The sequence below is a fragment of the Homo sapiens genome, chromosome 5 (genome assembly GCF_000001405.40).
Source record: "Homo sapiens chromosome 5, GRCh38.p14 Primary Assembly".
Classification (NCBI taxonomy): domain Eukaryota; kingdom Metazoa; phylum Chordata; class Mammalia; order Primates; family Hominidae; genus Homo; species Homo sapiens.
The window spans coordinates 95,079,419-95,094,406 of record NC_000005.10 but is presented as its reverse complement, the minus strand read 5'-3'; the positions used below and the strand labels follow the sequence as shown (position 1 = coordinate 95,094,406).

Below are 14,988 nucleotides of genomic sequence, written 5' to 3'. Positions count from 1 at the left end.
TTTAGCAGTTGATTTATTCAATAAATTTTTAATGCTACTAAAATGTTTAGAAATCATTCATGACCTCAAGGTGCTTACAGTTGAGTGATAGAGATCCAAATGGAAAAAAAGAGAAAGATCTTGGACATGACCTGATCAGTTTTATCTTCTAAAAAATTCAGAGGGAATGAGGAGAAATAGAAGACAGTAGGAAAGGAAAGCATTAAAAAGGTACTCCAGTTACCTATTGCTGCATAACGTATTATCCAAAGCTTAGTGGCTTAAGTCACATCAGTCATTTATTTTGTACCTCAATCTTCACGTCAGGCAGGGCTTGACAAGGGCAGCTAATCTCTGCTCTGCACAGCATCACTCAACTGGGGGCTTGAGGATCCATGCTCAAGATTTGTTCAAACACCTGAAAAGTGGTGCTGGCCATTGGCCTGGAGCTCAGCTTGGCTGTAGCCTGGGGGCCTAGATTTTTCTCCACGTAGACCTCTCCATGAGCTTGCTTGGGTTTCCTTGTGGTATGGCAGCTGGATTCTCAGTGCAAGCCCTCAAGGGAATGAGAGAAATGCTGTGCCAGCTTTTGTGACCTAGTCTCAGAAATCACATAGCCTCACTTTTGCTATAGTCACAATCCTGTCTAGATTCAGAGGGAAGGCACTTAGTCCTCACCTGCTGATGGGAGGAATGTCACATTGTGAGAACAGCATGTGGAACAAAAGAGATTTTGAGGACTCCCTTTCTTTGGAAAAATGCAATCTTTTGTGAATTACCATGCAGCTAAACTCAAATTCTTCTTACATGAAAAATATATTTATCCTCTCCCCCAAGACCCTCAAATCTAAACATCTGCTTGAAACATAGTATCATCTAAGGTCCAAATGAAGTTTAGACTCCTCAAATGCAGTAATTTGGGTACAGCTCCTTAATCTGAGGAACTGTGAAGTGAAGAAACAAGTTATCTGCCCCCTCCCCCGACATACCTAAATTTCAGTGGCACAACAGGCAAAGGTAAACTGCTGTAGACCCACTCACTTAAAAGGAGGAAAACAGGAGGCACACAGCAATCACTGGCCCTTAGCAGTCATGAAATGCAGGAAGTTCATGTTGCCAGTTTCTTCATTAGGGTGTAATCCTACTGCTAGGAATTGTCTTTTTTCAGCTCTTGGTTCCACTCTCAGTGTTTGGCCCTTTGAGTCAGCCTTTGTCTTCCATTAAAAAACAACAACAATAACCAAACAACGACCTTTGCAACTAAATAGCCTAATCAGACTTTTTACTGCCCATAGAATGCTACGTGTCCAAAGCCCACTTTTAATTTTGTAGTGTTCCCATCTATTTTACTCCAAATTGGTGTTTCTTATAGCAAAACAATTATCTCAAATAGTTTGTGGGTTTTCTATGAATCCAAACCATAGATATTCTCAAGGTAAGTGCTTCTTTACTTTCAGCTCCCTATGAGGTGTCTTAAGATAACATCCTTAAGATACCTGGAAGACCAGTTTTATGGAGAGAATTTGTGAAGCATACTCCTAAGATTCTTAGAGGTCCACTGTCTGCCTAAAAAAATTTGAGGAGCCACTGCCTTAGATTTTTCTGAAACTTTAGTAAAGGATATTATTTCAACCTGGATTGTTATTTGGCCTAAAGCCTTTCTTTTTATTTATTATTTTTGAAAATGGTATATTCACAGTGTTCTTTCTTTCACCTTTTCTTTTTCTTTCTTTTTTTCTTTTTCTTTCATTATTAATTTTAATTGACTCATAATAATTGTATATGTTTATGGAGTACAGTGTGATATTTTGATACATCTATACAATGTGTAATGATCAAATCAGGGCAATTAACATATCCGTCACCTCAAACATTCATCATTTCTTTGTGTTGGGAACATTCAAAATCCATGATTCTAGCTATTTGCAAATATACAATAAATTGTTGCTAATTTTAGTCACCCTGTAGTACTACAGAATACTAGAACGTAGTACTACAGAATACTAGAACGTATTCCTCCTATCTAGCTGGATTTGGTATCTGTTAACCTCTGGCTATATCTCCAAGTGTTTTCTTAAGTTGGGAATTACTTGCTGTTTAGAGAGGCTGAGAATAAGAAACAGTTTCTTTTAGTTGTTGTTTTTTAACCCAGCAAGTTCTAACTTATTTATATTTTAACAGTTTTTTCTTTAGCTCATCTCTTTCCTCTTGCATTTTATTATAGGCAGCTAAACAAAACAAAATAAAACAACAACAACAAAAAAAACCATAAAACCACATGAATATCTCCTTAGCTAGATCACCAAATTCATTAGGTGTATTTCTAATTTCCACATTATCAGAAATGATAGTTTTGTGAAATGTTCTGCTTCTACATAATAAGAGACCCCTTTCTTTAACTTCCAGCAACATTTTTCTCACTTCCCTTTGAGCCTTTGCTGACAGCTTCTTGAAGCCTTTAACTAATTTCTACCAACTTCTTCTCATAAGACTTTCCTTGTGGGCCTTTCAGCCTCCACTTACTGCCTGTCTCAGTCTTAATGACATATATTTCAGGTTTCTGTTATGGTAAACCCCACTTCTGTACTGGCTACTATTGTTATGTAACAAATTAGCTGAAACCTAGCAGCTTAAAACTACCATTTTATTTTATTCAAAATCTTGTGAGTCAGGAATGTGTGAAAGGTTTGCTTGGAAGATTCTGGTCAATGTCCTTCATGTCGTTGCAGTCAGATAGATGTTAGAGTTGAAACAGTTGTGGGACAAACTGTGAAAGCTCAGGACTGTCCAGACTCCTCCCTCTCTTCTTGTGGTCTCAGGGCTAGTTGGGCTTCCTCACAGCAAGGCAGCCCCCAGGCAGTCAGGGCATCTAAAGGCTTTAAGAGAGACTGTTCCACTGAGCAAGGGGGTAGCTGCACAACCTTTTATGTTCTAGCCTCAGAAGTCACATGGCATCACCTCTGTCATACTTTATTGGTTAAAACAGTCACAAAAGTCATCTGAGTTTCAAGGGGAGAGAAGACATAGATCCCACCTCTTGAGGAAAGGAATGTCATAAAAATTTCAAATATGTTTCAAAAATTGCCACAAAGGGTAATTGCAGTAGTTCCTGCAATGAATTATGAGTAGAGAAGTATTATAAAGGATGGAAAGTCATGCCTGGGAATGAGAGGTGGACAGGGCATTGAAGGGGAAAGCCTCGGAGAACAATTGGCTCTTAGCAGTAAGAGAGGGTTTCTGGATGAATTTTCTGTCTCTGGTTTGGGTGACAGCCTTCTGTAGAAATAAGGAGGGAGACACCAGGGTGAGTAGGTTTGGGGTTGGGGGGAAGGTGTGGAATGGGATGGCAGTGTTAGTTTGAGGTACCAGGAGCATCTCCAGATGGAGGTGTCTACGAAGTAATTTGATTGATAGACTGTAAACCCCTTGTGGGCAGGGGCTACATTTGTATTAGGTTGGTGCAAAAGTAATTGCGTTTTTTGCCATCACTTTTGCACCAACCTAGTATATCAGTCATCTTTGGTGTCCCAGTGTCTTGTGCAGAGGGCTCAATGACTTTGTTAATATATACAGGTGAGAGCTCAGATATGGGCTAAAGACAGAGATGTGGGAGCACTCTGACTAGGGATAGTGATGAGTGTCATGGACCTGGATAAGATTATTTTGTGAGAATATAAAGCAGATGTCATCCTAGGTTGGGTTTTTCAGGTTGAATCTGGACAGCCAAAGCATTATGGCAATATTTTTTAAACTAAGTATTTTACATGGTCTTGAAAATTAGAAAATCTGGTCCTGCAATACCAAGTAGCAGCGATGAGTAGAGAGGAGCAACGTCAGTGCCCTTCTAATGGTCATGTGATTGCCTGTGTGCCGCACAACTCCACGTGTATCTGTGCACTGCATACCTGCTCTGCCTTGTGAAGTCTGGGACCTCTTCTCTCTAGCAAAAAAAGCCAAGGACCGAGGACTGATTCCTCTGGAGCAGCAGCATTTAAGCGGCAGGAGAAGAAAACAAGATTGAGAAGGATCAGCTCACAGATATTCAAGAGTGTGCATAAAATGAAATAGCTAATTGATTTGCTGACAGAATTAGCACCAATTTTTTTTAATTGAAGTATTGGCCAAAAAGAAAGCTAACTAATTTTTATTTACAAATTTTAAAAACTATGCTTTATTTCTCACCTCAACGTTAAGTGATTCAAAATTAAACATACAATGTTGATGGTAATAACAAACACAGTAGGTAACTGACAGAGACATAATTTATGCCTAGGTTGTCCGATTTTAAAACATGCTCTCTTAACTGCCATGCAATATTGCCTCAGACATTTGCTTAACAATCCCTAAAATTGTTTCATGATGTGGAGAGGAATGAAAGGAGCAGCAAGAAAGAATGAGAAGAGACCTGAAGATGGAACCAGATGGGGCCCTGGGGAGAGGCCTGAGTGTGGGGCTGTGTCGAGAATTCAATCAACAATGAGACCAGGAAAGTCACATCACTAGGGCACTAAGCTACATTTTGATAACCAGACTATACAAATTGTGTTGAGCAAAAATGATTGGACTGTTTGTGGAGAAGAGAGGCTGAAAGAAGGGAAGTATTATAGGTATTATTTTTCATGGTGACAGTTTGTGAGCTAGTTCTGCAACATGCTGTATCTCTCAGGATGGCAGTTTCTGGAAAGAGTTCATGAACTACATTAAACTGGAGGGGAACAAAACAGCAGATTAAGGACTTAAAAAGAGAGACCCTCTGGATTCAGGTTTAAGTTAACTTTTTAGACCCTGGCTGGAAGGGTCTACACTGGATTCTTTAAGTAGTATAGAAACCACTGAAGGCCTTTCCTCACTATTTAAATAGAAAACTTCGCTTCACATTTAAAATATGAGTCATAAGGTGTTATTTTTACCCAATCAATTCCAAAGTATTATTCTTAATAAAAGTTGACAATTTATGGATCCAAAAGTTCCATTTTAAGTTTAACTGAAAGTTTGGTTCAAAGTAGGAGGTATCCACATCTACTTCTTTATGTTCAGTGCATTTTGATTCTGAAATTAAACTTGCTTTGTTTCCAGGAGAAAATGACTTTCAAATTAAACTCTGGAATATGTGCTTCATTTCAGATTTCTCAAAAGTATTCCAATGTTTACCTCCTAGGATTTATAAATGCAGAAATAAAAAAGTCTCCTTTCATTTCCCCTGCAACAGTGAGGGGAAAAAAAGATGCAAACTAAAATTTGTCACCCTCCTCAGATGTATCGCCTAAGAATAACTATCTCCAGACCTATAGTATTTTATGGTGGTTACTTGCTCTGTAGTTCTTAAATCCAGAAGAATTGCAGTTTTTCTAATTGGTATATAATAAAGAGGAATGATATGACATAAATGATTTCTTTTCCTTGGGTTGCCATCCATCCTCCTGAAAAATCGTGCCTACAATAGCACTGAAATTATTTAAAATTGGAATCTTTATCAACTCTTCCTTGGGAACATTGTGCGGAGTTTCACAGGGACTGATAATGCGTACTCTGGAGCCCAAATGATGGAGTTTGAATCCTGATTATGTCCCCTCCTGGTTGTATAATCCTGGGCAAGTTGCTTAACCTTTCTTTGCCTCAGTTTCCTTATCAGAATGGGGCAAATTGTAGTGTTATTTCACAGGCTTATTATGAGGAATACATGAGTTAATGTTGGTAAAGTAGTTAGAACAGTATCTAGCAAATAGTAATGCAAAATGCATGTTTGGTGTAAAAATAGTGAAATAAAGTACCATTTACACAAAACAAGTCGTAGTGTTTGAGGATGCAGGTTCTAATCCCAACTCCGCTACTTGTTAGCTGGGTACATATGGTCAAATTACTTCACCTCCGTAAGCATCAGTTTGTAAAATAGAATAATTGCTCCGAGTAGTACCTGCTTCACAGAGTTTCTGTGAGGATTAAGTGGGATGGTCTATGGCAAGCACAGAGCAGAGTGCTGCTCCATGGTGCCAATGATTACAAACATATTTTTTAGTTGCTGTGAGTTCTCTGCCCTTTTCCTTAAGGCGTATCTTCAATTCTTAACTTCATATTTCAAGGTCATTTCTGGACATCTAGAGACCTGGGTAAGGATGCTTTGAAATGAATGGCCACGGGGTTAGAGTGAGAGTAAGTGAGAAGTTAGATCAATTACTTAAGATCCCAACGGGCCTTGCAGGTTGGCCTTGTGTTAGGGATTTTCCCACTGTCTGTGGTCTGGCCCAAAGCCCCGTGGGCCCAGAAACCACACTTGTCAGCAGCTTCAGAGCACATCTGTCCTCCAGAACTGGACTCATATTAATGAAACTCTTACAACTAATGTGTGAGATCAGAATGCCAATGTTTCCATTTAGAATGAGAAGTGAAACAGCTGAAGATGGGCGGCTCATCTTCCCACCCAGCGCATTTTGCTCCTGTAGGCAGACTACATGGGGAGCAAATCGCTAACCCGGCTGTCAGTTTATTAATTTATAAGGAGAGACCTAGCTGCTGAGTTGCTCCTCAACTCCCTCAAGTTTTAAGCAAGGTCTCCCTAAAGACATGCCAGACAGGATCCCATATTTGTGTCAGAAAGCAGCTTGATGAGCATGGAATCAGAAGGGCAAGCTGTTCTCAGACCCATGGGTATAATGAAATGAGAGAGGCAGAGCCACAAAAGGGAAGGCCACCAGCCTCTAGCACCCTACCCCAGTGTTTCAGTGGCTACTGCCTGTGCTTACTTCCAAGGCTGCTTTTTGCCTACTTCCTGGTCTGAGACGGACTGTCCATGGGACACTTCTGGCCTTTAAAAGCTTTTGTTTGTCTCATATTGTGTAGAGGCTAAGATTTAAACATCAGGAATATTCATGTAACAACCCAGAGCTGTAGCCTTTCTTGAAAAAATCCAGAGATCTAGCCCCTTCCCACATCTGGTCAACCATCTGGAGCTGAGCAGAGACTGTCTCCTTTAAAGGAAGCTTGAGTGCTGCCTTCATTCAGTTCACTGTGGTCTCTGCCAGGTCCAAGACGCTGATCAGCATTACCTACTGGTAATGTGTGTGCCTTCAGGCATTTGAGTTTGCATCCTTCTGACAATTGAAGTTGCCTTTATCTATCTATGTGCTGGCCTGCTATATATTTATTTCAAAGTTTAATTCTTAGATGCAGTCTTATTTTCTCATTTTCAAATTTACTGTCACCCCTAAGCAGGGGAAACACATCTTGGTTTGCAAGTCCTAGAGGGTTACAGTGATATGAAGGCTGAAGTGTAAACCTCATAGCCTCAAGGAAGTGGGATACCCTTAATCTGCCTCAGGAAATGTGTGACGCTGCTGGCCACGCTTCTCTATTTCTAGATCAGGAGCCCTTTCGTCCTCCTGGCTGAAGAATATTAAGCCCTCTCATTTTATGAACTTTTTGTAGAGCTACAGATATAACCTTCAGTGAGAGAAACGTGAACATCTGTATTTACAAAAGAGATACATTTGGATGCATTGTTTGCAAATGTACTTACCATGAGGTTTCTTTAAGGAACAAGAGTTTATTTTAACTTTGATGTTATAAATTAATAATCAGATATAGGAAGGTATATGCACCATTTGTTAGGATTCCTAAGAACTATAGGCTTTTTAAATTTTCACCATCTCTAATAAATGGAGAAAATATCATTATGTGATTGGATCATTGATTGTAAAAAATGAACTTGTCTTCCAAAAAAGCATTTTTTTCTTCAAATGAATAACTTGTTCCCACTTTAATTCTTATTAATATTCTAAATAAATGAAGGTTAATCTCTGAGTTATTGGTTTGGGAAAATAGATTGACTTGAGAAGATAGAAATGTCAGTTCAAGGTCTTACTATATCTCACAGGTTCATACTACCTCAAATTTGACCACTTTATATCTTGAATGATCTTTGGGATGCAAGGTTATAACATATTCTATCCACAGGATTTTGTATGTATTTCTTACACTAACATTTACTCCATCTTATTACACTACTGTAAAATTAAATAATGCCTCAGCACAACCTCTGGCACATGGTTACTTCTCCATTTCATCATCATCATCATCATCAGTCTGCCTCCAAGTATTTTTCTTCAATTAGTCTGTAAATGTGTATGTATTGACTCTATGGTCTCCTTCATGTTTGAAACCTCTAATACTGTACGGGGGTACATAGCCGATACCCTGTAAGGATTAATTGAACTACTCAGAAGAAATAGAAATTTTTCTCAGTTCCCCTTTAGATATGCAATCTAACATTATTGTTGGTAATGCTTCATGAAAAATGACCAAAGAACATTTAATTTTTATATTTTTGACTCAATTACAGGTAAATAACAGAAAAAAATAAATTTTTAAATTAAACCACAAATTAAATAAAAAACAGCAAAGGACATTATAAACAATAGTAAAAAAATACACAGAAGAGTGATATCTATAACTCTCATAATTGACAAAGGAATAGAACAATAATATATAAAGACCTCCTAAATATTTCTCAGGAAAAGGCAAATAACACAATAGAAAAAAAGGCCAATAATAAGGTAAAATACTCAACTTTGGTAGTAATCAGGGAAATCCAAATTAAAACATTGAGACTTCATACCAATCAAAAACAAAAAACAAAAAGATCAAGACTCTTGGTATTTCAGCATCGTGGATCTCTGGAGATCGTTTACAAGAGTTTGGTGTGACAAAAATTCTTATACACTGTTGGTTGAATTGTAAACTAGCCTAGTTTTGTTGGGATGCAGTTTGGAAATACCTAGTAAAGGTGAAGGTGTGCATATCGTATGACCCCACGATTCCATTCCTAGGTATTCATCTTTAAACAAATACATGCACATGTACAAGAATTATAATAGTTTGATAATAGCAATAAATTAGAACCAACTTAAATGTCCATTAATAGGAGAGTGGATACATAAATTGCAATGCTGTACAGCAGTTAAAATGAATAAACTAAGCAGAACCACATGTAAATCTTAAGAAGATAATGCTAAGCAAAAAAAAAAAAATTTAAAGGATCTATACACTATTATATTTGTATAAAGCTTAAAGCATGCAAATTAATATCTTGTTTATGGATATTATGTTATATAATATGTTGTACTTGTTATGGATATGTGCATATCTAATAAAAAGTATTATAAAAGATATACAGTAATGATATAAGCCAACTCAGGAGGGCGTTTACTTTTGGAGAGAGAAGAAGGGATGGGATAGGTAATGGGATAGGTAAAGACATATGGAGGCTTCAGATGTGTCTATTAATATAATGGTTTACTTCTTCCAGAAAATCAGAATCAAATTTGGCATAATTTTAAATAGAGGCAAGGAGAATGGAAGGAGGGTGTCAACAGAGTAGGAGGTTTAAGTTACTAGGATCAGTGGGCTTAGAGAATAAAATAGAGCCAAACAGACATCAGTTTGTCAACACTGTATAAATTCAGATCCTCATTAGTCATACTAAAAGTCAAACAGCCCTTACTCTTGCTTCAGACTCTAAGCACCTTCAGCTGTGTCATTTTTAAAAAGGGGTTGAAACTGTGGAAATCTAAGGGAATACAAAAGCAGGAGATGTGATGAGCATACCTAAGATAATGTGAAGATTTTGAAGACTAGAGCAAGCCAAAAAAAGCAACAAAAGGTTTAGATTTTGAGTTAATTAGGAAAGCAATTGTTATGCCCAATTCAGAAGCCTGAAATGTTTCAATGAGATGTTAATAAACAAGTTTGTTTACTCTGATCCAAGACTAAATTAATGTAAAGCATATTATTATAAACATTGGACTGTTGATATATTTGCAGTTGAATAAATCCAAGCTGTATTTTATAAAGCCAATAAAATTGCTTGCAGGAGGCCAAGAGGAAAAAAAAAAAAAACACCCAAAGACCTTGGCCAGTTTTAGAAGGTACATTGGAGATTCTAATGCAGCTTCCTCTCTCTGTCTCTCTCTGCCCTTTCTTTTTCTCTTTTCTGTCTTTGGCATTCACTTTAACCAGACTGAAAAACTGGAGTATTCATTAAAAAATTGGGGCTGGTAAAGAATGGAGAGTGGGACAGAAAAGAGCATCATCATTTCCATTACATTGTTTTAAAAAATAATAAAGGAGAGTAGTCCACTTAGAGTGAGTACAATGTACCAAAATATGGAAATAAAAAATATTAAAATTTTTTTTAAATGTAACATGTTCTTTTCAAATTACCTAAAGAATACATTAATTCATTTTTATTTTACAAGATTTATGCAGGAGGTAATAAACTGAGCAAAACATTGATCTCTCTTTGTCCCCCATCACTTCCTTCAGATCCCTTTCCCAGACCTAACCACGTGTCCACAGTTGGTGTGCAGTTTTCTGGGCCCTTTTCTGTGAATATGCATATAAAAAATGTATATACTCATAACTGGGATAATATATTTTTCTGCAATATGTTATTTCTGCTTAACATCTTTTAGGGAGCTATGCATCTCAGTGCATCTAGATAACCTGATTCTTTAAAAGAAAATAACTAGGTAGTATTCCTTAGTATGATTAACCCATTATTTATTTAACGCTTCCACCGTTTATGGTTCCTTACATGGTTTCCTGTTTTGACTACTGTAATTCTCCAGTGAACATTCCAGTATATTCATCATTGCAGTAGAGGGCAAATGTGACTTAATGCATAACAGTATCTGGTAATTACAGTAGTATTATCAGGAATCTGCCTTTCACGTATTTGGCTTTGTTTTTCTCTTCATCAGCCTCATTTTTAGGCAACCTCTTTTAGACAAGTTTTAGACCACCACTTTTAGACAATGTGGTAGCAGATACAACAACCAACAGTTCTACTCTTAACATTCTACAAACTTAACCTCTTTCTCAATGTTAGCAAAAGTGGAGAGGTTGGCATGCTTACTAGACCAGCGTGGGTCACATGCCCATCCTTGACCCCTGCGTTGTAGCTCTGTGCATAGTATGCATTGATTTTATGTTTTTGTAAATAGGAGATAAATAGACATCCTAATAGTGTCCAAATTTACATCACTGGGATTAAAGTGTTCTAAGTATTTGCTAGAGTAATGAAATAAGTATGTTGTTTCATAGCATTGCATATGAGAATGAAACATGTTATACATGGAAGATCATTAATATTCTAAAAAGTGGACAATTTCTCAATTCAAGAAAGTGTTGCCCAGTGTATTTGCTGGAAATTCAGTGATATGAGAAACACATTTCTTAATTTTATATTATTTGCCAAACCATAACAAAAAAATCCATATTTTATTCATTTATTAAATAATTTTTTGATTAAATTCTGCTATGTATTGATGACCATGTCAATAGCCTCCTGAAAGAAAATTCCTGCCCTCGGGTTTCTTACATTCTTGTTAGAGACCACAGACTATAAATAGGTAAACAAATGAATAAAGAAGAACATTTCAAACTGTGATGTACTATAAAGGAAATAAAAAAGATCATCCGATAGAAAGTAATTGGAGAAGGTTACTTCAGGGGAGGTAGTCAGGGAAGACCTTCCTAAATGTTCTGAAAAGAGAATATTTGAACCACCACCTGAAGACTGAAAATGAGCCTTGAACCCTAGGCCTATGCTATTCAATATGGTAGCCACTAGCCATGTGTGGCTATTGAACACTTGCATATAGCTAGCTCAAGTGGAAATGTCACACAAGTGCAAAACATACACTAGATCTCCAACACTAGTACCAAAATGATAAAATATTTAATAATTTTATTATGATTACATATTGAAATGATGATGTTTTAGACATACTAGGGTAACCATTACTAAAATTAATGTTTCTTTACTTTTTTAATGTGACTACTAAAATATTTTAAATTACATATATGCTTCACCTTATATGTCTATTTAACAGCCCTGTTCTAGTTAGTTTCAGCCTACTTACTGTTATTAACATGGGCTTTTTCAGCTTTTTTTCCTTGATGAGGCTGATGGCAAGTGAATTTATGTAGTAGACTTTTCTCCAAGCATCTATGTCTATATTTATTGACTGAGGTATCTAAATATAATAATTCAATATTTGATCAAGCTTAATACAGCTCAGTGTTAAGGGATAACATGTGGTGGAGAAAGCATGTAAAATTGCCACATTTACTAGAGGAGTTGTATCATTAGTCATGTTCCTTTAGAAGGGCTCACAGAACAGATAAAAGGGGACCCTGAGTTGGTGAGGTAGGCAGAGCTAGAAGCACAAGGTAATGACAGCGTAGGAAAGGATTTCTGTGGGAAACAGCAACAGCAAAGCACGAAGATCTATTTCCATTCTCTACTTAGTGAAGGAGATTCTATTGTGTTGTAAAGCATGCCACTTCTTGCATGTTAAAATGGAATTTTTTTCTACACATTGTTTTTATACCGATGGGAATGTTAGTGACTTTAGTGTTCCTTTTTTTTTTAGATGTCTTTCTGGGAGATGTTGGCAAGTTCTCACATCCTTAATAACATTAAATTAATTCACTGCAGAGAACAAGCAGAATAGTTTTCTTTGTGCAGTGTTGTTATTCTCATTTCCTGTTGTGGCTTTTGCCATGAGGAAGAGGTTGACTACTAACACTGCATGTTTGATTTAGCAGGTGAAGTTTTTAGTATTTAATGTGAGTATTTTAGAACCCCAGATATGATGTTTGTTATGTAATCTGTACTAACAGTTTTGCAATGGGAAACTCTTCCCTTACTGGTTTGAGAGTTGAGTCATATCCTGTGAATCTAAAGCTACGTTATTTAAACATCACGGGTTCTTCTTACTTTCATTCCAAGTCGCTGCTGTGCAGAGCAGCAAGTGCTCCGTGCAGGGCTGTTGCTATCACTTGGAGGTGAACAGCCTCTTTTGCCGGTATTCAGTGAAGAAAGCAAGTCTAAATATGCAGTTCTCTCACTGGAGTGAAAGATGTTTTGTTCATTTCTAATCAACTATGCTAGACAGCTGCAAGCTGAAAAGTGCCTGCAATTTGCCATTTATTTGTAATAAGGTAAGTAACATTTTGGTTTACTCACTGGATTGTGGTAGCCTTAAATTAATGTGGCAGTTTAGGTATATGATTGTTCCTTAGAAAAATGCCTTCTCACGGGGTATTGAAGGTTGCATTTGAGATTCTAATACAGATAATTTTTAATTTACAGTATAACCTACTTGTGAGATACATAGTGTAATACATTGATATTCCTTTTATGATCATTTTTTATGAAAAATATAGTGCCTGAGAAATGGAAACATTGTGGTAGCTTTATATTGGTTTGTTTTTTTTGTTTTGTTTTGTTTTCTTGAAGGATTTAGTAGTTACCAGGTTCTTAGTTTCTTATATTTCTTTTGCTACCCTCTGATCTCAGTTAAAGGTGAAACATATATCAGATTTATATGATTATCTTTGAATAATTATAGCTCAATCATTATATTTTTCAATTGAAATAAAAAGTAGTCTTAGTAATTATTAGAAAATTTAAAGTGGAAAATTAGTGAAAGCCTCTGGACCTTTCATATTTGGCTTTCTATTTAAGTGAAAGACTAGCATACTTAGAAACTTCTGATTATTCTGTTTGTTTTAAAATTGTATGAGTTTGTTTATCACTGCCTACTTTCTCACTTGCTGTTGGAGGCAGTCATACAAATTGCATGGCTAGAGAAACCTGTGGATAGAGAATGAATGAGAGGTTTATTTTTCAAATTCTTTAAGCTTGCTTAAAGCTAATTCAAAGGTTGGGTGACACAGGAATGTTGTCTTGGCTTCATATTGGTTGAAGCAATAACATCAAATCAGTGTTTAAAGTGGTATTGGGTATCCACAGAACTTTGCATACTCATATTTAAGGCCTTTAAATTCCTTTCAGCTAGAAAAGGTTAATTTGATTTCGAGAGCTATAACTGAATTAGTAAGATATTAACGACTTGAGGTTTTCAAAAATGTGTCTGCTAACGGTTGGCATTATGAATACTTTCGTACTTCTTAATTGACTTACTATCATGCTTGGAGATTGTTTCATTATTTCAACTTCCAAACATATTTGAAGGCAGTATTTTAAATTGGAGAATACTGTATTCCAAATTGGAGAATACTGCTTCCTTTGCAGGTTTTTTGGTCTAGTTTGATGGAGCATGGATTTGTGGAATGATTATCAAAATGTAACATCTGACTTTTGCAATTTCTTAGCCATTGCCACAGCACAAATGTCCAAATCCTTACTCTGGGAAGTGAGCCATAAAAGTACACATGCCTAAAGGACAGGGGTAGATTTTGTATCTTTCAAAATTGGAGGTGGTGTGGTAGATTGTTTTGATACACTGTATTTGTTGAAAGTGGTTAGCAAAAAGAGATTCCTCCAAAGCTTATCTTTGAAAAAGAGAAAAGAAAAATGTAAACAACCAATGAACTTCCAACCCTTTCTGTTAGAATTGATCTGCTATTTTATATTTATATAACTGTACTCTTTTTTAGGCTATGAGAAGAGAAAAAAGATGACTTTTCACAATTAGAGGAGTTAATGACTTATGTCCTACTATACCAGTGAACATGATAGATTTGAAAACAAAACTTCGCTTTAAAACCTCTTAACTCTTAAGATTTAGAAGACAATTAATTAAAAGTTTTCTTGTGCTGGTGATATTAATAAAAGTTATTCCTTCTAAAAATTCAAAACATGATCACCATTTATTTTAATAAAAAATATAAAATATTTTTTATTAAATATGAAAAGTGTATGCTATCTTCATATCCTGTGCTGCAATGTATAGTTTCAAGAGATAAGTGGAATTTATCATCATGCTATCTTATGAATAAATCCTAGCTCTGCTTTGTAATAAAGTTCATGTTTGCTTTGATTCCAAGAACTATACAAATCAGCTATATGACCATTAAGAGATGAAGGTAAACAGATGGAATTAATAGGCATATATCTTTTAAAATTTTTGCTAAATATAAATGCAGTGAGATAGCATGTGGTCTATGTGACAAAACCCTGGGCTATAGGAGTGCAGTGGGAAG

The 14,988-nt window shown here is 36.3% G+C and overlaps 1 protein-coding gene across 55 annotated transcripts in view, besides 1 other annotated feature; it reads left to right on the top strand.

Annotated features, from left to right (window-relative positions):
• Positions 1-14,988, top strand: part of MCTP1 (multiple C2 and transmembrane domain containing 1) — a 581,405-nt gene that overhangs the window by 190,688 nt on the left and 375,729 nt on the right. For 36 of the 55 annotated variants that reach the window (NM_001393551.1, NM_001393545.1, XM_047417738.1 and 33 more), the window contains exon 1: positions 12,762-12,981. The exons of the other annotated variants lie outside the window; for them this stretch is intronic. In NM_001393551.1, coding sequence (NP_001380480.1) covers positions 12,925-12,981 — 57 coding nt within the window. In that variant the 5' untranslated portion in view covers positions 12,762-12,924. Of the gene's footprint in view, positions 1-12,761; positions 12,982-14,988 lie in introns of those variants that run through there. 55 annotated transcript variants of the gene reach the window in all.
• Positions 6,329-6,378: an enhancer, noted in NCBI's record as "active region_22797". NCBI's record gives its function as "activates an Ori minimal core promoter by ATAC-STARR-seq in GM12878 lymphoblastoid cells {active_cell/tissue: GM12878}" and the evidence as "EXISTENCE:reporter gene assay evidence [ECO:0000049][PMID:35858748]".